The following is a 23,494-nucleotide window of genomic DNA, read 5'->3' as shown; positions in this document are numbered from 1 at the left end:
ACATAACATCTGGGCAATTACTGACTTTTACTTTTCATCACAGTGTTTTGGTGCCTTGTAGACACAGCTAAGATGTCACGAATGTAGATAATTTAGTACAGTTGTTGTCATTTCTTGCTGAGTTGCCTTAAGCTTGACATTAGCAAAATCGATCTTACTTAAATAAGTTTTCAATACTTATTTGCTTTTGTGTTGCAGAGACGGATTGTTTTGCTTTAAGATGATTTGATAAAAAATAGCTTATTTCATATGAAAAACTGATATATTATTTGTTATTTTATCTCCACATGTCTTGGAATCTTTCGGGCAGAGAGAAATATGACCCCTAGAATTAGTTTTCTACTCCTTCAATAAAAGCTACACCAGTTCATCCATCAGTGATAGAGGTGGTTTAGGAAGAAATTACATTTGTTTTACTAAAGAAGTCCAAATGTTTTATTTAAATCTCTAACTTCCTGGAAAATTTGATGTGGGTGGTTTGTGTGTATGTGTGTGTGTGTTGTTGTTGTTGTTAGTAAACAGGAAGCTCTTGAAATTATACACTGCAAGCATGTAAATCCAGGTTTTGTTGTAGTTTCTTTTTGGGTGGGTTTTTTTTTTTAATTTTCTTTTCCCCTTCATTACAGAGTCCTATATTAATTGCCCAGCTCTTTTTTGAGGATTTTCTGAAGTGGTACCCCACAGACATAATGCTATGATAATGGAATTTCAGTTTCTTTCGGTTGACTGCTTGCAAAGAGGTTTTATTTGGATGGGAATGCAGGAGATTGGCCTTTTTTTAAAAAAAGAAAACATACAGTATAGCTTGCCTTTTTTTTCTTAAAGAAATTATTTGTGGGAAAATAGTTTGGAGTATCTTATTAATGATTTTCCTCTTGGATTTTTGTTTATTTTCCACCCCCATCCCTCAGATCTCTGTAACTAAAAACAAGCTTCAGTTCCTCATCTTGGTTACAGTGGTTTAAATGTTTGTTGGTATGTGACTTTGTTTAGTAAAGTTTGTGTGATTCTTTTTCTTTCTTTTTTTTCTTGCAGTGATCTCAGTTTGCTAAACATTGCATAATTTTAAAAAAATGTAGTAGATTATTTTTTGGCCTCCCTAAAGTTCATAGTCATTGCTGTTTTCCACTTCAGTCACTCAGATTATTTTATGAAATCAGTCCAACCCCCAAAGTTGTTTGTTCTTGGCTTTGACTCTGGGTGGAGGTGTGCTGTGATTTTCACAAACTTTGATGTTTTCTGTCTTATGTAGGCGAGGACCTGAGAGTTTTCAGCAGTTTTCCTGCAACCAGGGAAAACTGTGTATTGAATAAAACCCTTGCAATAGACTACTCAGCCCTAGATTTTCTTTGATGAGCACATATCTGCAAGTGGCTCTTGGCCAAGAATTGAGGCTGTATATGGGGGAAGAAATAGGAACATCAGTGGTTGGCTCTTGGAAAGATCTTTAAATAAAGATCATCTGGTCCAAGGATGGCAAATATGTGGCACAAGTACGACTACTTTCCCCACCCACGCCCATTGCAAACATCAATAATCGATCATGGCTTTCTTTCTGTTGAGCCATCCAGACCACACAATCTTTCTTGACATGATATCCGAGGCTTCTGCTAAAATGCCAATGGAGTTGGCATGCGAGATTGAATCTCTACCACTGTGGATTATAATATATCTCCATAAATAACTACAGACATGGGGAAGCTCAGAGCGAGGCAGAAGAGTGCTAGAGTTGGGAACGTGGGCTCAACAATGGAATGATGTGAGCTCCAACTAGAGCTCAACCACTTGTTAGCTGTGTGGTTTGGAGCAAAGTTAATCTTCATAGGCCTGTTTTCCCACCAATAAAGTTTGGATGATGATAGAGACTACATCATAGGACTGTCGGGAGACAAACCAAAATAACCTGTGGGAAGCACTCAGCACAGTGCTTGACATTGGTGCTCAGGAAACATGAGCTTCCATGAACATCACCATCATTATTAGGGAGAGTGACTTGTTTGCGATCACAAAACCAGTTAGGATTAGACAAGTTTCTCAACTTCAGTACTGCTGATATTTCAAATGGTCAGATAATTCTGTGCTGTGGGGGCTGTGCTGTGCATTATAGGATGTTTAGCAACATCCCTGGCCACTACCCACCAGATGCCAGTATAATGCCCCCTCCTCTTCCCAGTTATGACAAATGTCTCCAGACATTACCAAATGTCCCCTGGGGGACAAAATGGATACTTTTTTTTCATGTTAACATATTTGTGCCTGAACGCACTGTCAGAGATGCTCATTCCATTGGTTTCATGATGAAACCCAGGGAATATGTATTTTTTTTAACTGTTGTCAGTGGCTTTAATGTCACTCTCTTCATGTCAAGCTACAACTTTTTCTACTTAACAACTCATCGAGAGTTCTGAGTAACAGATTAAAACTCGAAGTTTTAATTATACTCTTGTAATAGAATTTAAAGTAATATCAAAGAGAATGTTCACACACAATATAATTTCCAGTGAAAACAGCTGCCTTCCGGATTATGTAATAATAACATTGATATAATTAATTTGAGTACTGACTATGTGTTGGACACTGGGGCTATGAGCTTGATGTTCCTCGTGCCATTCAATTGTTACAACAATGCACAAGGCATGCATCATTATTCTCATTTTACAGATGATGGAGCAGGGGCATAGCGTGCCTTGCCCAACATCCCACAGCTAGTAAGTGGATGAACAGACCATGCATCCCAAGTCTGTTATCTACAGTGCACACGCACACACACACACACACACACACACACTACAGAAAGGTCTGGAAGGATATACACCCAGATGTTTACCTTGATTATTTATAGATGATGGGATTATAGGTGTTTGCTACTTATTACTGAAGCTTATTATTTTTTAAATTTTCTTCTTTGAGCATTCATTATTTGTAAAAAGTATTAAAAAAACAAAATTATAGTTATGCAGCCTTGTGACTTTTATAAAACAAGTGATTCATTGTGTTTACAACAGTCTACCTCCTATTCGTCTGATCTTGCTTATGACCGACTGAAAAGCAACAGAAATTATATTTTAATTTCTCATGTGAGATACCAGAATGGAAACATACAGCTCCTTAATGTAACACATAATGATTCAGTAGTGGGGGTTGTGTGCATTTGAAGCTACTTTTTCCATAAAAGGTTATTCTGTAAGCAATCATATGGAACTTTAAAATAAATATATTACATGTTATAGATTCCAAAGAATGTTGTCTTTCAAGATTTCCTACCTTGGAGAATTATATGTTTGTTCAATGATGCTACCAGTGAAACATCTTCTTTTGAATTTCACTCTTGATTATTGCCTTTAAAGCTACTTTCTGAACCAGACAAGAAAACCAGTCTTCATTATTTTAGAAAAACACCAGGAATTACCCACTTGGTTGCCCTCTAAGACTAAGACATGCTCTGAATTTCTGTTTGGTCATTTTCAAAAATCAAACAGAGCCACATGGATAAAATTTGCCATAAGAGGCAGTGCTTTAACCACTGTCTTAATTTTCTCATGGAAATTCCAAAAAGGGAGATGCAAATGTGGTTTGATGAATGGAATCATTGTTGGAATAAGTGCAGTGACCCTCAAGGTGACTACTTTCAAATGTACTACACACATGTGGAAGCATAAATTCAGGGTGTGTGTTTGTGTGTGTGTGTGTGTGTGTGTGTGTGTGTGTGACATTTGCATTATTTTATAGTTATGCATTATGTGTTTCAATTCTGAATATGATATTTGCCTGGCTTTAATTCCCTATGGCATATGTTTCCAATTTTAAGTAACTCTGAAAGATCTTCTGTGTATCTGTCTGCTCACATAACTAAAAGGTCTTGGTGACTCTGGAGTCCAGCTGAACCTTTATGTCTAAAAGAACATGTGTAAGTACATATGCTGAACCAAGAGACACAGAGTTCACCAAAGGCCCAAGCCTCTCTTCAGGTTTTTCCCTTTGTCCTGTCATGTAGGACCAGGCACTGGTGGACTTCCAGGTGAGTGGGGACCCTGAGGGTGGCTTCAGACCTCCCCCTCGCCCCCGACCCCCCGCCAGACATTCCAATTGGAGCCTTGCAGGGATGCCAGTATCATAATCTTCAGCCTGCCTCCTTGGAACTCCTCCCACATCTTTCGGTGGCTTCTATAAACCCCTGCACAACATGTCCACACTCTTGTCATTGGAGCCTTCATTTCCACTAGAATCTCTCATTTCTGAATTCAGTGTCTTTATCATTATATCATGTCATGGAAAGAAAGGACAAAGGGCACAGGGTCTCCCTGGATGGCAGAGCGATCTTGTCACTTCATCATTCGTTTGTTCATTCATTTGCTCAATTATTAAGTGCTTACTGTCTGCCACTGAGGAATGTGAAACGAACAAAATAGGTCTCTGGTCTCATGGAGCTTACTTCTAGGGAAGACAGACAATAAATGCATAAATCAAGAAACAAGCTGGGATTTTAGATATTAATTTTGAAGGAGGAGGAGAGGAAAGCAGGATGTGACATTTAAGCTGAGACCTGTAGGGTGAGGAAGATCTAGCCCTGTAGAGAGCTTGAGGAAGACTATGCCAGCAAGGTGAAGGCTTCAGTGCTCCAGCACAGCGCATAAGGCATTGAATAATTATATCACAAATACACAAAGTAGGCATAAAATAATATTATCCTCAATGAGGCAATCCTGACATAGGTGAATTGTAGACAGAGGAATTTGTAAGGACACCAGACAAGATGGAATTCTTAACTATATTTTCTTTCATTGTAAACCAGGGAAGCCAATTTTAGCATTGCTACATAACTGAAGCACTACTGTAATTTTTTTAACATATTATTCAGGACTCAGCATGAGATGAAACTGTGAGAAAAGCTAAGGTCTTCCTCTTTAAGATTCTCCTTGCCCTAGAAAAATCTGGCTTTATTGCATTCCGGGGCAGAGCATTTTTCAGAGCGTGTGTGTGTTTGCTCTGTTCACATTATTTCTTTTCCCCAGAAGGAGACCAAACTGTTTAAAGGGAAGATAGAAACAAACAAACAACTGGGTAATATGCTTCCAAACATTCAGACACATGTGACCTTTCAGCCAGCGCAAAGATCCATGAGGCAAACAGCAGGCCAGCCGTGCTTGATTCTTTTGGAGCACAGATGCTGCTGCTTCCTTGGGGATGACCATATAAATTATACAGACCATTATCATCTCTTCTCCAGAATTTTCACTTTTGAATTCTGACCCAAAAAATACACAATTTGTTCCCCTCGAGCATGTGATTTCATGTTGCCCCAGCACCTGCTGGAACGACCAGAGAAGATTGGATTGGCCCCTTCTACCTTCTGCTATTCTGCATCCAGAAGAGGCTGTTTTCTGTTGTCTGGAGGAACGGCTGGTTTTGTTGTGCCAATCGGAGCCTTGTAGGGATGCCAGTATCATAATCTTCATTCCTCCATTTCTCTCTGGGCCTAGAACTCTTTCCAATGGAATGCCACAGATAACTTGCCACTAAGAGATGTGCCCCCTCTCTCTCGCTCTGTTTTTTTCTCTCTCTCCCTCCTCCCCTCCAAAAATCTTGCATCATTTTGTTTTCTGAATCTTTCTAGGACCTATGCCTTTCTTCTAGCTAAGCTGGGGACACAGATCATAGTGGCCTGATTTTTCCACTGTTGATAAATTAACCTTCAAAATTCTTTGTAGTTAAGTTCTGAACTACCATCTTACTATTCGTATTGATTTATTTTTCAATTTTCTCTACTGCTTCAAAATCCACAAAAGTTTCTTTTGGTATTTCCTTATAGTTTAAGTGACAACTCTAACAAAATACATCCTCTCTGCTGACCTGGTCAGTTTATACTGGTGGTTATCGCTTCTAGTTTCTTCCTTAAAAAAATGCTCCATTGAAAAATTATCAAGAAATTCACTAGAATGTAAGCTTTATGAGGGCAAGGATTTTATCTTTTGTTTTGTTTTCTCTTTTGTCCTTAATATCTAGAATGGTGCCTACTACACAGTAGCATGTGATGAATATTGGTTGAATGAATGAGTGGATGAAATTGACATCAGACTTGCTTGTGTGAGGGGCCTTGGCTGATGCCCACTCCTTCTTCTCATAAGAAGGTTCTGCCAAAGTCAAAATGAATTCTTGAAATCATGTTAGCTGCAAACCCATCAAAATTCCAACCTTAGCAAAAGTCTTGGAAACAAACACATTTTCCCCCCAAATTTTTCTAGCAATCTACTATCCATTCAGACATTTCCATAATTCGTCGCTAAAACAGCAACAATAAGCTACACAATGTAGGTTGTTCAGGAGCCCTACACAGGATTGAAGACTGGGTATTGAGAAGGTGGAGTTAGTGAGAGAAACAAACCTCTCCACATGATAAACCGTCTGGTCAGTTTTAGTGACTTCAGTACCTGAGATTCAAATGCCCTGGACATCCCAGAAGAAGGAGACTTTTAATTAGAGCATCCAGGTGAAGCTCTTGCCTAATTTAAATTCCATGCATCATCCTGAGATGCAATATCCTAAAGTTATGATTCTATTTGTTACCACTTCCTTTATTGCGTTTTGTTTTTAGGCTGAGAGCTATGGGGCTCACAACATATCTGACATTGTTTATGGAGTCGTGGACTCTAATAAAGTCTGCTTAATCATGATGGAATAGGTTCAGCTTTGCCAGAACTGAAAAATGGGTTGGTAGCCACTGAGCACCCTGTAGAGCCCACCTTGAGGTTCTCTTCAAGTTACAGTCTCATCTTAAGCACTCTGTTATGAAAAGAAAATCATTTGGTTATGTATAGAGCCAGTTACAGATAGAAATAAGACTGATTTCTGCTCTTCTTTATGGGGAAGTTATCAGATTAATGATACACCAGTGCCAGGTAAAGGTATTTTAGTGGCCCAAAGAGAGGCTACGGCCTGCCTGCCTGCGGGGCATCTAGAGCCGTGCTTCTTGCCTGAGGGTAACTTTGACCCCCTAGGGCACATTTGGCAAGGTCTAGAGACTTTCTGGTTGTTTCTCCCACAAAGGGGGATAGGTGCCATACTTACAATGCTTAACATCCTATAAGGCACGGGACAGCACCTCAAAATAAAGACTTATCCAGCCCAACAAGTCAATTGTGCTGAGGTTGAGAGACTCTGATCTGGAGGAACCCCACTCAGCTTCATGCAGATGTCCCTGCCTGGGAAGGTGAGTCTTCTTTTGCTATTTTCCAGTTCTTTTAAGAAAGTATCTCCATCTTATTCTTGCATCAAGAATTGTGGAATGGGAAGCAGATCTGATTTCAGAAGTGGGCAGGGCAGGCAGCCTAGGTGGAATGATTTGAAAGGCACAGAGACAATCCAGACATAAAAAACATTCCTCTACTTCTGAGGCTCCAAGGCCTAGAATTCTTTCTGTTGAAATCCAGAGAAGAGCTGAACTGGCTTCCTGAGTTTTGAATCAAGCTCTGCTACTTCGGAATGCATTAAGATTTGCTGAGCATTCACTGTGCACTCAGCCCTGGGCTAAGTGCGGTGCAGGCATTCTCTCGTTCCATTTTCTCAGCAGCCCTGTGAGATGTGTCCAGTTATTGGAGGCTTGGAAATGTTCAGAAACTTGCCCAGGGTGGTACACTGATTAAGCATGGTGCTGGTGCAGAGATTTTCCACCAGGTTTGTCTAAGGCCCAAGACCCTGCCGATAACCAAGACCTTACCGTGTCTAGTTCTGAGGTAATTCAACCAACCTTTTTTGTGACTCTCTTTCCACCTGTGGAAAATGAGGACTCTCTTTCCACCTGTGGAAACCTGAGGGAAAATTCCACCATGACTTCTAGGAATCTTTGACAATGCTTAGCTGTCTTGATTTGTTTCTTTTATGTCTTGCCCTTTTTAAGGCTTCCCTTTTAAAATGGAGACAGTCTCAGAGTAGGTGGCAATTGGAAATCTCCATAGAAGGATTCCAAACCTCAACATACAGCATAACAAACTATATGGTGAGCTTCTCAAAATGCCAACTTCCAGGCCCCTCACCAATGCTGATTTAGCAGGCTTGAAATGGGCTCCTGGATCCCAAGAAATTAATCAATTCTTTTTTTCTGGAGCCCTGATACTAATGACGCCCTCCATCCAGGTGATGCTGAGGCCTGTATCTGAGGGCCACACTGAAGAAGAAGGCCAGCCTAGCCCCTTCTGGGGAATTCACCTAATTGACTGGTTTTCTCAAAGAAAGGATACTGGTCACTATGGAAGGACAATGTTTAGGGTAACTTAGGGCTCCAAGACCCCTCACACAGGCCGAGCTAACTGTGCACTGCTGTCCTCAGACTCACCCAGATCAAGGGTTCCCAAACTTCACTGCACATTAGAATCACCTGGGAAGCTTTTAAAAGTCCTGATGCCCAGATCATACTCTGGGTCAATTAAATCACAGTGTCTGGGCCTGGGAGCCAACCTTTGTAAAGCCCTCCAGCTGATTCCAATGCGCAGCAGTTTGTGAACCAGTCCTGAGCATTGTAGATTCCATATCATTGCTGCTGCTGCACTTTCTCTTGCAGTGCTCTTTGGCTATCCTAGCCCCAAGTGCCAAAATCTTAGCTCTCCAGGAAGACCCAGCTGCAAATGACTCTTTGCTGTATTGTCTTGACATGCCCCCACTGCAATGTGGTTCCTTACTCCTCTGCTGCTTCCTCTAAGGTATTCATCTTATGACCTTCTTTGTATTTACTACGTATCTTCAGCCAGTTAGACTGCAAGTTCCTTGAAAGTATGGACTCTAATATATGTGGCTCCGGACTGATTTGAGCAGAAAGAGTATGCAAGGGTGGACACAAGAGAGATGAGGCAAAGACCAACTCAACTCTTTTCCTTGGCTTTCTTCAGGATAGATCAGAGGGAGGGTAATAATAATGGTTGCTAGAGGTCACCTATGCATGAATTTCTTGAGTAAAATATCCCAGTAAAATTTTTAGGTTTTTAAATTAAAGAAATTGTGTTTTATTTTTATTTTTAAGACAAGGTCTTGCTCTGTTACTCAGGCTGGAGAGCAGTAGTGCGATCATGGCTTACGGCAGCCTCGACCTCCCAGGCTCCAGCCATCCTTCTGCCTCAGCCTTCCCAGTAGCTGAGACTATAGGTGTGCACCACCACTCTCAGCCAATTTTTAATTTTTTGGTAGAAATGAGGTCTCACTATGTTGCTGGGGGTTGTCTCAAACTCCTGGGCTCAAGGGATCCTCCCACCTCAGCGTCCCCAAGTGCCGAGATAACAGGTGTGAACCACTGCACCCAGCCTTGAACTCACTCTTCTGGGGGAGAAATAAAGAATCTTTCTAAATAACAGCACCTTCTAAATAGTGATGTTTTGACCTTTTGGTATTGTGAAAATGTGTGTCTTTGCTGCCATGACTCAGAATGTAGGCCAGCCTTCCTCCCCAGGATGTTTAGGGGGCTTATGGGGACTTACTCATGCCTGGGAAGGAATTTAAGAGGAAGTCAGAGTACCCTCTAAGTTTCTTTTCATCTCTTCTGATTGTTTTCACCCTGCTCACTTGAGAAACAAATCCTGTTATCCTAAACTGACATGGGACTTAGTTTCTGCAAAGAGTGACAAATGTACAAATGCACAGTGGCCTTGACAGATGCTGCAGCTCTGTTTTGATTTGCCCATTTAGAATTTTAAAACTGAGAAAGACTTTGATTTCTTGCCTCCCTTGAAAACTCAAAAGCTCTTCCCGCCCTGTGCTTGCTTTCCTGGTAATAGCAAATAGCACCTGCCACTTTTAGCTGAGGCCTGTGTGCTCAAATTTGCTGTAGCCCCTATGCCTATGCCTCCTTACTTCCAAGATTTCAGTTGCCTGATTTGAGTTCTATAGGCTGTGGCAGCAGCAGCACCTGTTAAAAACTGTTAAAACGCAGATTGCTGAGCCCTACCCATCTTCCGGAAGGAAGAGGTGTCATTTGTTTATGTATGTAGATATATACACATATACATGTGGGTACATATATACATGTTAGTATGGATTCATATAGATTTCCTTCTGTGGATTATAATCCAGTACTATTGTTACTTCTTTTCTTGCTCAGGATGTCTCAACTTTGGGCATTTGGGAGCTCTCTGGGGTTGCCTCCTGTGGCCTTTCAGTAAGCCTCTACAGAGCTGCCCCCCGCCCCCCATTTTGTTTTGGGTTTTTACTCCATCACAAGATGCTCCGTGCTTATTTTGTATTTTCCCTACCCCAACCCTGGAATTAACTAGCTCCTCAAGGATCCCTGATTTATTGTATTGGAGAAAGGTATTTAGAAACCAAGATCTGGGTGCTAGGTGTGCTCATTGCTATTGGATCATCATTGCTTCTAGTCATTCTGAGTGGACAGAGCTAGGGAATATATGTGTGTATACTTATGTATACTAATTTACACATATGTACACATATAGATTTATGTCTATATCTATTTATCATGTGTATGGGTGTGTGTGTGTGTGTGTGTTTGTGTAAAACCTGACCCCATGAATACCTTCAACTCCAGTCCAAGGCCAAAGGAGTCATACTAGCTTTGGGAAAATCAGATTTTTAATCTTTGTATAGTTTTAAAATTTTACAAGTAGTTCAAGGACATCTTGGGGAAATAAGAAAGCTTCTTTTTATAGCTATTTTATAGCCATTACTTCAAAAAACTCAACAAATCCCAAGCTTATGGCTGAGATGTCTCATCAACATACCACCATGCTTAATATCCTTCAGTCCCTCCTGAAATCTTCCATAGTTTGGAACACACAGCCTTACTGTTCCCGAAGGTAGGTAGACCTGCCTCATTTCCCTTCTCATAAAACACAGTTTGTCTCCAGCTCTACTGAACAATGCCTATTGTAACGCTGAGCTGGCACTTGTGCATTCTAAATGTAGGCCAAGACACTTCGCGGAGATTACAATCAGAACTTTGCTTTACATGTGAAATCTTATTTTGAATGCAGGTACACAATTACTCACTCAGAGACTTAATTACACTGCCTTAGGATAGTATTAAAACAATGGTTTTAATTATTTTTTGGGGGGGTGTTACAAAAGTAACCTGCTGTCTTGTTAGGTGGGTGAGGGGCCTTTACTACAGTCTTTCTGAGAACTTCACAGATACAAATTAACCTTCAGCTGTGAGGTTTACCTGTGAGTCCTTCATGTTTATTCAGAAAGAAACCATACTTGGATGGGGTCCCTTACTCTCGTTATGCTTAATGTAAATCTAGTACTGCTTGATGAACTGTTTAGAGAACTGGAAAGATAATCCAGCCAGGATGGCTCATGGGCTGCTGGAGGTGTGGCCCCTCAGTGGTTTGGAAAACACTCTGGGTTTTAAACAGCAGCACCTATAATTATGGAGGCGTCATCCCTTCCATAAAAAAAGAAAACAAAACAAAGAAAGCAAAGCCCTTCTACTAACAAGGTGTAGTCATAGCATGTGTTCAGCCTTTTCAAAACCTGTCTGGCATTTGTTTCTGGCCTGGTGGAGAGTATCTTCCATCTTTCTCTGAGCTCTCATAAAACAATACAAAGGTAAACAATTGGAGGGCAATTAGCAGTCTCTTTGGGGTAACAGGAGAGAGAAGTCACCGGACTATTAATGTCAAAGGAATTAATTATGGTTTGCATAGGTGATTGAGTGACTTAACTTTGCAAATGGTTGAAAAATAAGGAACCAACAAAGTTTATAAAAGATGCCAGTTTGGAGAATCATGTATGGCAGACTTACAGGACTACCTGTGAAATAGTTTAAGGCTATCAAGATATTGAGATGCAGCCTGTTGTATAAGGGGCCACATGTACTATAGATCACCTTTGTCCAACTTGAATGTGTGTGAGACTTGGCTGGGTGATTTTTTTAAAATACAGATATTTGATTCACTAGGTCTGAGGTAGGGCCTGACATTCTGCATTTTTGACATAACCTGGAGGTGGTGCTCTGCAGGTCAGCACATCTCATTTTGCATAGTAAGGCTGTAGATTGTTCTAGTACCTGTAGCAGATGGGGTTGAGCCACCCATACTCCTTTTACATGTTTCCAAGGTACCAACGTTGCACTGGGAATGCTCAGGGCATTAGAACAGCTTTTTGGATTGATGATACTTGGCCAAATGCTTCACCGTACCTTGTAGTTTATGAGGATTACAGTCCACTGAGACCCATGTTCATACAGTACAGTCATGCACAACCTCTTTTCACAATCACCAATTTAGAAAAACATAAAAATATTTGCAGGCCATATTTATTTATGTTTATATAACTGCATACTTTAAAAAAAAGCAGCAAGTGCAGTCTTGGTAACTAAGGTCTCACTCTCCAGTTAGAAAAACAGAAAAAGCACTATTGTTTCTAGATTTAACTCTGAGCCTCTTAAGTTTTGTTGTGGGGGAAAACACTTTTTAAGCTAGGGTCATTCCCCGTTCCCTGACTAGCTTTTCCACCCACTCAAATTATCAAATGTGGTTTTGTCTCAGAGTGTGCCTGTTAATATTGTATACTTTAAAACAAGAGATCCCCTGCTGATTTCCGGTGTGGACATATAGGGACATGAGGACACAGAGGATGGGCTCCTCTTACCACTTACTGTGAAGCACATGATTTTCATTAGCCATTTTTATCTTCTTGGAAGGCAACTGAGTTTAAGCTTTCATTTAGAGAATGGTCTGCCCACGCTTACTAACCTCCCCTCTCTGAATCCACTTTTCTCTTCTCAACCCTCCCTTCTTTCTTTGCTGTGTTGACCCCCACCTGGATGTCTGTCACATCTATGGAGAGAGGGTGGAGAGAAAGGACGGTGAGCAGGGGGTTGAACTTGTTCTTGACCCTCTGTGGCCTCAGTTTCTCCCAGATCTGTAAAGGGGTCTGTAGGTTAGCTGTTTCTGAGAAGCTAGACAAACCACTTAAGTCTGAGGATTGGTCACTTTAGTGGAAAGAGTGAGATGGAAACCCACAAAGTCAGGACACCTGGATTCTAATCCTTGTCCAACCAGTAACCAAATTTATTTTGCCTTGGAGGGCAAATGAAATCCCTGGGCCTTAGATTCCTCATCTGTAATGCGATATTCTTAGTTATGCCCATGTTTTTTAAAGTGTAGGAACCTTGGCACTAGGATGGCATAACACTGAATCACACATTGAGAACTGTATTCCTTTCCGATCACTTTAAATCCTTCTGGTTGTTAAAAAAAAAAAAAAAAAAAAAACAGAAAAAAAGAGAGAGAAAAAACAAAAATTCAAAAATTTCCATTGATACTCTTGTCCTTAACCCTTCTCAACATTTGCCACTCTCCCTCCTTTTTTCAAAAATCATTTTTAATTTTTGTTTTGACCCTCAAAGAGAAATCAGTGACTTTGTTTTTACTGTGCTTGTTTTTAATTTATGGTGGGTGATACTGATTTCCCATTTAAGGCAGTAATAGAAAAAAATTAAAAGAAGGTTGATTTAAATGAAAATGTTTGCTACAATTACCATAATAAGTGGCCTCCAATGAGTATGGTATATTAATTATTCGGGAACTGTTATGTCATATAGATATGGCAAAAATCAGGACACCAGTAACTGTGGTTAAAGAAACACTAAATTAAGTGGTTTTAGTTTTTGTTCAACTCAAAACTTACAAGAGCATTCAGGTACGTCGTCAGGTGGTAAATGTCCACTCCAGTTTCTGTTCCCCAAATGTACATATATTTAGTGACATGGTATTTGGTGAATGAAGCTCATGTTTGGTGTATACAATCAACAGTAATGTGACAGGGGACTAACATATTCTGATACGTTTGGGAAAATTTTGGCTGCAGTTAACTATAATTTGCTAATTTTGCATTTACATTGGTTTTTTTTTTCTCCTGTTACTTAAAATATAACGAAATGGGGACAAGCACCTTTGCCTTGGTGTAATTAAAAATAAAATTATGTCAGGAACATCTGTTTTCAGAAGGGATTTCTATTTGTTTTATCACCAAAAGGTGGCGTCCTACCCCCATGCCCTTTATTTTAAAACCTTTCTTGCTTTAATTTAACAAAAAGAAACTTCCAGTTGATTACTGATAAAGAAATTAAAATCTGCCCCCCACGAATGTAACGTGACAGTGTTGAAAATGAACAATATGTTAAGCTGCAGTTAAGTTTCCCTCTAATGTAAACCAAATGGACATCGAGTTCTTTAATAAGGCAGCACAGCACATTAGACAGTATCATACAAAATTGAGTACAATATATCATGGGATTTACAACCAGGATTTCCTTTTGTCTGCAAAACTTGTTGCCAACCTGACTGTGGCCCCCACTTGCAAGTGAATGTAGAATTTAAGGCAGTTAAAATGCAGAATCAGATTAGCAGCAATCTAAAGATCTTTTTAGTATTGCGATGATAATAATTTTTAATAAACACACTGCTTAATCTGAAAAACAAGATCAGAGGATGAATTGTTCTTTACAGACTATGAATAGATCTGTTACATTTAAATAAGTCGTTATTCCCCTGAGTTATAATTCTACAGTCAGGCATATACCATAAACATGTTATATTTGGCATAAAGTACTTTAGAAATTAAAAACCATTTTTAATAGGTTGACCACTACAGAACCAGTAGACTGGCTACTTTGTAGATTTCCACTTAATTCCGTGTGAATTCAGCATATGGAATTTCCAGTGATGTCAAAGAGTTGTTGGCAGTATTAACTGAGTTGACATAAAGCTTTTAGTTCAGTGCCTAGATCATAGTATTTAATAAATGTTAGATGTTATTATTGACAGCTTAGACTGTGAGCTCCTCAAGGGCAGGAATTTTTATTTTTTCATCCCTCTGTGCCCACTCTGTGGTCTAGCACACAGTGGGTATGTCATTAATCCCTTTATGTCTTGACAAACAAGACGTCGAACCCTAGCCTCTAGGAAGCTAGGACATTCCATACAAACTAAAATGCATTTTATTGGTCTAGATTCTAGTCTAAAAGATTCAGTGAATAGTCTTATCTGGATAGCATGGAACTTTATGCAGCATGCATGCAATGTGAATTCTACCAGGCTGAAATTACCTTAGCAGCCTCCCTTTCTTTTATTCTGTAGCATCAGCGAATGGCTTTGTTATTTTTTTTTTTTAACTTGCGAAAGATACAATTTCAAAGCGATAGTCTTATGCCACCCTTGAAATTAAGATTTAAGTTCTTCTGTAAATTAATGTTTAACAATATTTGTAAAGGGGCATTACGCGAAAGAATTTAATAATAACCTTTTCAGGATATTATCTACAACTGTGCTGGTCTCAAGACCAAAGGGACAGTAAGCCTCTCCCCTCCCCGCAAGGGGAAGTACTTTGTAGGAATCCACAGGGGTGACTTTTAATATATTCTCATAAAGAATTGGCCTGGTGTACACCAGCCAGCCAGTAGCTGGAAATGCTGGTTTGGGAGTCTGGCCACTTCTGTGGTGGTGGGTCTGAAAAAATTTACTTCTGTTAACAACAACAACAACAACAACAACAAGACATAGAGGTCTTACAGCTTTCCAAGTCACGTTTTGGAAACACATACTCTGCTTCCTTCTCTATGCGTATTGATAAAAGTGAAAGAAATACTAGTGTCTTTTGTTTTATGTATGTATATTTCAAAACATTTAATTCAGGCTCTTAGTTTATTCCTTCGAATTTCTAAATTCAACCAAACTTCAAAAACCGCAAAAAGAAAAAAAAAAATCTCACCTTTTCAAAGAATTGGACAAAGCTTTTTGCACGTGACTGATCACTGGGAGAGCAGGTAATTTGTGTTAAACAACGGACTGACATGCTAGCCCCCAGGCGTTTTCCTAAGAGGAGTCGTGGCAAGAACACAGTTCCTGATGCAGCCACCTTCCCCCAAAGTGGACTCGATTGCACATTCCTGCAGTGGCTCTGACAAGGGGGCAGAAGCTCGTCCCACATTCACACTCTCCTGATTCCGAGAAACAGGGGAGAAAACCCCTCGCTGGCTGGCGGGGTTTCTGTTTCCTTGCAAACAGGGGTTTGTCCTTCTGCTGAACTTTCACCTCCCGAACTCGCCTTCTTTCATTGGACAAAGTGCAGAAAGAAAGAGGAGAGACCGAGGGAGGACGGGAGAGAGGGAGAAAGGGGGTTGAAAACACCACCTCCCACCCCGCTCTCCTTCAACTGTCACTGATGGCAAAACACTTTCACTTTTAACTGGAGGAAACTCACATTCTAGCCTGTCCTCTCCCCTCCCTTTCATATTTTTAGCTCAGAATCCAAGCAAATAGCCATCGCATTCCCATCTTCGTCCCTAGTTAACACTCTCCCTTCTCGTTTTTTCCGCTGTCTGAATGGGCCCCCCATTTCCCATCTCCTGAGGAATCTCCCCCTCCGCCCCCCTGCCCCTTATTTTCCAGGTCTTTCCTGCCAGATCCCTCTGTTGCCAGGGACTGCTCTGGCGTTCCCTTCCTCTCTCTGGTCCGCGGGGCTCTGCCTCCCTCTCCTCTTTCCAATCCTGCCTGGACGCCCCTCACTTCCCCCTCCCTGGATCCCTCCCCCCAACCCCCCCCCCCATTCTTTGGCAATTGCGATTTTTTTTTTCTGGGAGCCCGGTTGTTTACCCAGCAGGTGGATGTGACGTCAGGGACGCACAACAGCAAAAAATAACAACATCTCCCTCCGCGACGTGTTGGCCTCTCTCGCGCGCCTTATTTATTTATTTGTTCCGGGATGTCGGGGGGGAGGGGGGAGGGAGGAGGGGGGTGGGCGCCAGCGCCCCGGCGAACGGCAAAGAGGGAGCCGCTCCCGCTCGGGGGGCCGCTGGAGTGCCCAGCGGGGTGCGTGAAGCGGAGAGGGGACCCCTGCGGGAGGTAGAGGGTCGGGCCGGGGTGCGCCCCCGGGCCGGTGCTGCCCGCGCCTCTGCCGCCGCCGCCGCCGCCACCGGCGCTGGCTGGGCTCCGGGAAGCTAGTCCGGAGCGGAGGAATCTATTGTTATTTATTGTGTGGCGGTTGCACGCTGTACTCGCGGCGGCCCGGCCCTCGCCCGGGAGTGCGTGTGTGCGCGCGTGTGTGCGCGAGTGAGTGTGTGCGCGGGGTGCGCGCGCGGGCGGGAGTGGGCGCGCGCGGGGAAAGGCCCGAAAACACCTTAGTTTGCACCGAGAGACCATTTGCAGCGGGTGAGTTTGTATTTTTCCATTTCTGCTCCACTTTTTCCCAAGCCGCCTCCTGTCTTGTTTCCGCCACTTTAAACAACAACAACAACCAGCACAAAAAAAAAAAAAGAAAGAAAGAAAAAGAGAAAAAAAATGGAAAAAAAAAAACAACTACTTTCCACCTCCAGGCTCCACGTGCATCTCCCCCAGCCCTCCCCTCTCTTCCTCTCCCCCCCGGGTCGAGGCCCAGCTCTGGGATGGGTGGGGGCTGCGGGCCGGCGCGCGGGTGGAGGGAGCTCCGGCGGCGCCCGCACCCTTTGGGTTTATTTGCATAAGTCAAATGGGGGCGGGGGCGGTGGCGACTGTGAGGAGGCGAGATCGCCTGCCCGTAGGCCCCTTCACGCCTCTCTCTGCGCTCTCCACGATCGCCTAGGGGAGAGAAATCAATAAGCCCAGGCCGCCTGGCGCAACTTTCGATGTCCGGCGTTGGCGTCCGGTGGCCGCCCGGGCGCGGGGCCGGTGCGGGGTCCCGGGTCCTGGCCGCGGCGGGAGGGGGCGCGCGCCGGGCGCCTCCTAGGCCCAAAGTTTAGACTTGGAGCAAACTTTTCCCCTTCTTTCCCCGCGGGTGTGTGCCCCCTCGGTGCCCTTGAGCTGCCCCGCGGGCCCCAGCAAACTGACTGTGGTGCCTGGCCCTGGGCCCCGCACTGGGGAACTTCCCCGCTGCCACGCGCGCGTTACCCCGAGAGTCAGCGGCGAGGAAGCTCTCCCGCCACCCCCTCGGAGCCCGGAAAATTCAAACACGCACCTGCGCACCCCCAGCCAGACACGCACCCCTACGCGCGCTCGGCCTCCGCTTTCCCGAGACGAGTCCGCAACAGCCGTGGCCAGATCCACGGGTGGGTGCGGGAGCCGGATGCGCTGCGAGGAGTCGCCGCGCCCGGATCTCTCTCCCACCATCACACACATTTTCTGATTTTACCCCCCTCTGAAGCTTGGGGGACGGGGAGATTTCCCAAGCTCCGATTTGTCCTGCGTCGCGCGCGTGTCGCCTCGTCCCTCCGGCCCTGTCCTGGCGGCCGATGGCTCTCCGTCCCTCGCTTGCGCGCAGCCTTCCTCCCGAGCTCCCTGCGCTCTATTCCTGTCCCGCCGAGACGACTCCCTGGAGCCAGCGAGCCGAGGCGGCGTGCGCTTCGAGTGGGGACCACGGCGGTGGCGGCGGCGCCGGGAGCCGAGGAGTTTGCCAGTTGCCGCGGGGTCGCGGTCATTTGCTGCCTCCGCCTTCCCTCGCCCCCGCCTCCCGCCTCCCTCCTTTTCAGACAACGTCGCGCTCGGAAACTTAGATTCCTTCTTCTTTTTGGCCCTCGACGAGCCCCCCTCCCCACCTGTTGTGAGCTCCGCCTTGGTCCCGGGAGACTGGCAGTGACACACACGGGCTCTGGGGAGCTCCGCTCCCGGAAACAAAGTCGCATGCCCCCCTCCCATGTGTTTGCTTCGAAATCGCTGCCTGCAGCCCCCCATTCCCGCGCAGCTCCCGCCCCCTGTGAGAATAAGGACTAAATAAACAGTTGTAACTCCAAACCTTGCGCCCGTGATCGTATCCCCATCCCACCCCCTTCTCCCTATTCCTCCCCCCTCCTTTTTGTTGTTGCAACTTTGTGAGATCCTGGGGAAGGTGCTGAGACTTTGGCTCGGGCCGATTTCCCGGTCTCTGGATCCTTGCAGGGATTCCCTGAGCCGCATCCTCTCTTCCCTCCACGCGCACTCGCGGGTCCTCGGAGCCCGCTGCCCTCTCTGTCCTGGCCCCTCGGCCTACTCACCCGTCCCGTCCCCTTCAGTTCCCCCCAGCCTGCACGGGGAAGACTTGCTGAGGGTCGCCCCGGTTTCTTGTCGACTGCAGAACCCGAAAGTTTGTAAGAGGAAGAGAGCGCGCGGCGAGCGAGCGAGCGGGCCGGGGGCAGCGGCAGCGGCGCCGGGGACCATGGTGCTGCCGGCGCCTCCTCCGCGGGCGTGAAGGCGGCGCTCCTACTCCCTCCCCGGACTCCGCGGGTAAGTCGAGGCGGCCGCGGGCGCGGGGTCCAGGGACACCGGAGAGCCCCAGGCGGCACTAGGGGTTCTCCGTCCCCAAAGAGCCAGCCGGGGTGGCGCGAGCCTAGCGATAAGGCACCGGGAGCGAGGAATGTGCCCATCCTCAGGCCGGTAGGTGCTTCGAAATACTGGACTTCCTCCCCTCCACCCTTTTCCCCTCTTTCTTTCCTAAATCTGAAAATCTGGAGATCAAAGTTTAGCGTGGAGTGTAAAGTGCTCCGATAAAATATGGTGACATCCTCGCCCCCCTTCTCACCCCACTCCCCTCTTATAACTATTAATTATTTCCAAGTCATTGTATCCAAATACCCTTGCTGGGCTGATTACAAAGTGTATTGATTTAGTCTGGGCTCATCCTATGCTTTCGTCTTAATTCATTTTCTTTTTGCTCTACCAGAAGACCCAAAATGAAACTTATTTCTTCCTCTTCCCTACCTCCCCACCCCACAAGCCCTCATCTGTGAGGCTTGGGCAGAATAATGAAATTAATATAAACATTTCATTTGGTTGCATTTGACCTTATGCAGTCCACTTCTGAGGGGCTGGAATTGCGCTCATGTCTGCTCACAGGTATTTTCCAAGTTAGCATTTTCTTTTTTGTCACTGCTCTTTAAACAGGAATGCCGGAGGAGCATTCTGGATTCCCTTTGAAAGGCATCTGTACATTCAAACCGTCTACACTTCACCATTGGTTGTACGTAGACTTAAGGGTTTAGGGCTTGGACAATAGCTGAGTTGAGAAGACCTCAAGGATATTTAAAGGAATTTTTCTGCTACTGAAAATATATTGAAGAATCGCTGCAAAATTTTTCCATTCCATCCCCTTTCCCCCACCCCCGTTTTCCACAGCAAGAATCAATTTGGAGGGAGATGTGTAAACTAGAATTTTTAAAGAAATAGTAAGACTTCAGGTGTTTTCTACCCAGGGATAGCCTACATAATTGAGAAAGAGGAGTTCCTGCTATTTTTCTGTTCCAGAGAGAAATGTATCAAATCTTTTTTAGAATTCCACTGGAGTTTTGATTCTCAAAGTGGAAATACCCATCCCTTTGGGTCCAGGAAAAGAAAACTCAGCTCACAGTTTCAGAAATTTGGACTGTTTTTTTCCCCCCTCTGTCTTTCTATTTGAAACGTCTCACAATTAAAGAGCAAGAAAAATATAAAAAAGGAACTCAACTAGTTACCATTCAAAAGGTGTCAGCTAAAATCTCACTGCAAAGGGAAAAAAAAAGGTTTAACATCTTGCCACTGGCTGCATCCCCCACCCCCCTTAGACTTTGGATTAGTCATTGTATGAGAGAGAGGGAGAAAAAAAAAATCACTTTTTTTTTTTTTTTGGAAAAGTAAAGTAAACAGCCTCCAACTGCTGAACCTTGACAACCCAAATTAAGGAAGCAGGAGAGATCAAACAGAACTGCTGCTGGGTGGTTGTCAGGAGCTGCTACACGGAGAACCCTGGACTATTCGATCAAGCAGCAAGGCTATATGTTCACTTATGCAGAAATGGACCATTGCAGATGCTAATCTTTGTTGTGCAAGCGAAGGCTCACTTGGAAGGAAATACTCAGCCCCTCTCTGGGCAGCATTTGAGTTCCTTATGGATGCCGAGTCGCGAAACAAGTTATTTTTTTTAATGTATCCTTCTTTATGAGGAGAATGCTACCCAAAAATGTATTAAAGGAATATTAAGTCGTCCAGAGACTGTCTTGCTACCAAGAACTGTGCAATGGAATTCTTTTTACCAACATTAGACTCCTACACTAGAGTTAGATAACGTTTTCTCACATTGAGTTTAGAAGATCTGCCTTGTCAGGGAAGCCAAGGTTTTGTATGTGAGAGTTTAAATCTGATGTGAAGCTCAAAAAAAAAAAAAAAAAGAAAAAAGAAAAAAAAGAAAAAAAAAATCTCTGGTGATGAAGTTTTGTGTCAGCCCACTCTTGGAATTTAAAAAGGCGAGAGAGAGCAGTCTCCAGATTAGACAACCTCTTTTTTTAGATTGACATTCAACATGACCACGTTGCTACTTTTATTCAAGTTCTCTGTAACTTGTCCTTGCTTGTTGTCTAGGAAAATTTAACTACTTTACATTTTTAAAGGGAGTAGTAACAGTAATTACTGTAGCATTTTGTTTTCACAGGTTTATCAAAGTATAATGAAAGAAACATCAACTATTCAAATTAACTGTCTCAGATAAGGGGTTTATATTGCTGGAGATGTCTAAGATTTTGTGTTTATATTTAAATCGTGGAGTATAAACTGTGTAACACTTTTTTTTTTCTGGGATAAACTATCCCCAAATTAAATGTTATTTTAAATTAAGTAGAACAAAGTAGGAAACAGGATAAGTAAACACATACAGAAGAATAAAAATAATTGTCATTTAAGGATTATATTTTTAATTAACAAGTGTCGGTCACATAGTAAGCAGTTTATATATTTTTTGTAAGCCAGAGTTTCATAACCATGGTGCACAACATGTTTCAAAGTCTGTAGTTTTTACTAGATATACCTTTATTGTATAATTAAGCAATGTGGGTTAAACATACACATGGATGCTATTAGGCAATTTTCTGCAATATGTAATGTTTTGAAAACGCTATAAATATTTTCTAGTTAAACCATTTATACTTATAATAGCAAAAGTTAACTGAGTTAATATTGAGCCTAGGCATGGTTTTCTGTTACTGAGTTTTTCTTTGCCTTTTTAAAGACTATACCCCTGGCCTTGTAAATTTGCATCTTAGGCTCTGTTGAAGGGTATGTCTGTTTTCAGCAGTTGTTTAAATTAACAGAAGAATTGTGATATTTTTCAAATATATTTATATTGCAGGGGGTCCAGTGCCAAAATTAAGAAAGAGAAGGAATATAGCAGATGTGACAACTTCTTTTGAACCCAGCTTCCTCTTTGCAGCCAATCTTATTGTGCATATTTATTTGATTTTCATGTTTTACTTATGACTCAAACTCAGTTTTGAAACACTATCTTGTAAGATTCCACATCTCAAAAAGTATGTATATTTAGACAAGGTTAGGTGTTACAGTACCTATCACATTTCAGTGGGAATGCCAAGAATATTTACAGGGTATAGCAAGAATTTTGTCCTTTAAAAATAATTTTAGGTATACGTTAATAAAACCGAAGTAGATTGCAGGCTGTCAGAACATAGTATAAATTTTGTTTATGATTCTGTTACTTTAAGGTACTTACATTAAAGAAACTCATTTAACCCGTGACTGAAGAGCATTAAGTGGGGAGGGAAACCCTCTGAAGAGCTCCTACTGCCCTTTGCTCTCCCGATAATCTTAAATTACTACAATTTAATTGCAACTTCAAGGCATTCAGCATGAGCTGTTTCTTCTCCACGACCGAGAAAGGGTTTCCAGAGCATGGCTAGATTTACACAGGTGGTATTTTTGTTTTTAATTTTTTTTTTCTTTTTGCTAAGGGCTTTTCCTTTCTTCCTTATCCTGTCAGATGTCACACTTCTTTTATAGATTTCAGTCATAGTAAATGCCATTTTTGCTATACCAGCAATATTGGCCTTCTTTTTTTCTTTTTAAATGTGTTTTTTTGAATCTAGAGTATATAAACCTCTCAAGCAGGTAGGGGTTTGTTTTCTAAAGAAAATAACCTCAAGAAAGGCATCTGCTGAATAGACAGGTGAACTTTATACCTGAGCCAATGTATACTTTTACTATTTGCAGGGGATTTTTTTTTTTTAAGTTGATGGTAGTTAGTCCCACCAGGTGATCAAACATTGAGTTTGTGAGACAAGCCAGCAAGCCAAGTAGGTTTGCACTTGGGCCCATGCATTTTTTTAATGATCTTTCTTGTCATTTGTTACTCTACTCTGCAGGCCACTTTGCTATACATATGCTATCCAAGGAACCATCTTAAACTGATTTTTCAACATATTTCTCTTCTCCGGTACTTGGATGAATTAAGGATAAAGGCTCCAAAAGCTGGAATGCCAGCAGGCCTTGAGATGAGGCAAGTTCCTGAAACGGGCAAACCTGGCGAAATTTGGGGTATCTTCTGCATGATAGTTTTTTTCCTTTTTTTTTTTTCCTGGGACGTTTGTAGTTTATTTCAATGAGCATGTGACCATGTGCTTAATGGAAATTAAGCAGATTTGGCTTGTGTCGCTAACCTAAAAATAAATGTTGTAAGGAATATTTGATTTCTAGAAGTGTTTTGGTTTTGCATCCCATAGATAATGTTCTTACAGTTAGGGCTACGAGGCTGGTATTCTGCAAAGAGGAAGTACAATGGGGGAAAG

General features: G+C 42.8%; 1 protein-coding gene and 1 long non-coding RNA gene across 10 annotated transcripts in view, besides 2 other annotated features; one reads left to right on the top strand and one right to left on the bottom strand.

Annotated features, from left to right (window-relative positions):
• FOXP1-DT (FOXP1 divergent transcript) lies at positions 13,315-15,781 on the bottom strand. The gene has a single exon (NR_182289.1). It is a non-coding gene; the product is annotated as an FOXP1 divergent transcript (long non-coding RNA).
• Positions 16,512-16,806: an enhancer, noted in NCBI's record as "tiled region #11865; HepG2 Activating non-DNase unmatched - State 1:Tss". NCBI's record gives its function as "activates a minimal TATA promoter and a strong SV40 promoter by Sharpr-MPRA in HepG2 cells {active_cell/tissue: HepG2}" and the evidence as "EXISTENCE:reporter gene assay evidence [ECO:0000049][PMID:27701403]".
• Positions 16,746-23,494, top strand: part of FOXP1 (forkhead box P1) — a 629,271-nt gene continuing 622,522 nt past the window's right edge. For 6 of the 9 annotated variants that reach the window (NR_146143.3, NR_146142.3, NM_001349340.3 and 3 more), the window contains exons 1-2: positions 16,996-17,153; positions 19,027-19,175. The gene's annotated coding sequence lies outside the window, so the exon portion shown is untranslated. Of the gene's footprint in view, positions 16,815-16,995; positions 17,154-19,026; positions 19,176-23,494 lie in introns of those variants that run through there. The other 3 variants (NM_001244810.2, NM_032682.6, NM_001012505.2) reach the window with 1 other exon arrangement.
• Positions 16,884-17,123: a silencer, noted in NCBI's record as "silent region_14520". NCBI's record gives its function as "represses an Ori minimal core promoter by ATAC-STARR-seq in GM12878 lymphoblastoid cells {active_cell/tissue: GM12878}" and the evidence as "EXISTENCE:reporter gene assay evidence [ECO:0000049][PMID:35858748]".

Source organism: Homo sapiens, chromosome 3, assembly GCF_000001405.40.
Source record: "Homo sapiens chromosome 3, GRCh38.p14 Primary Assembly".
Taxonomy (NCBI): Eukaryota; Metazoa; Chordata; class Mammalia; order Primates; family Hominidae; genus Homo; species Homo sapiens.
Note: the sequence above shows the minus strand (reverse complement) of the source record. Positions and strands in the feature narration are given on the sequence as shown.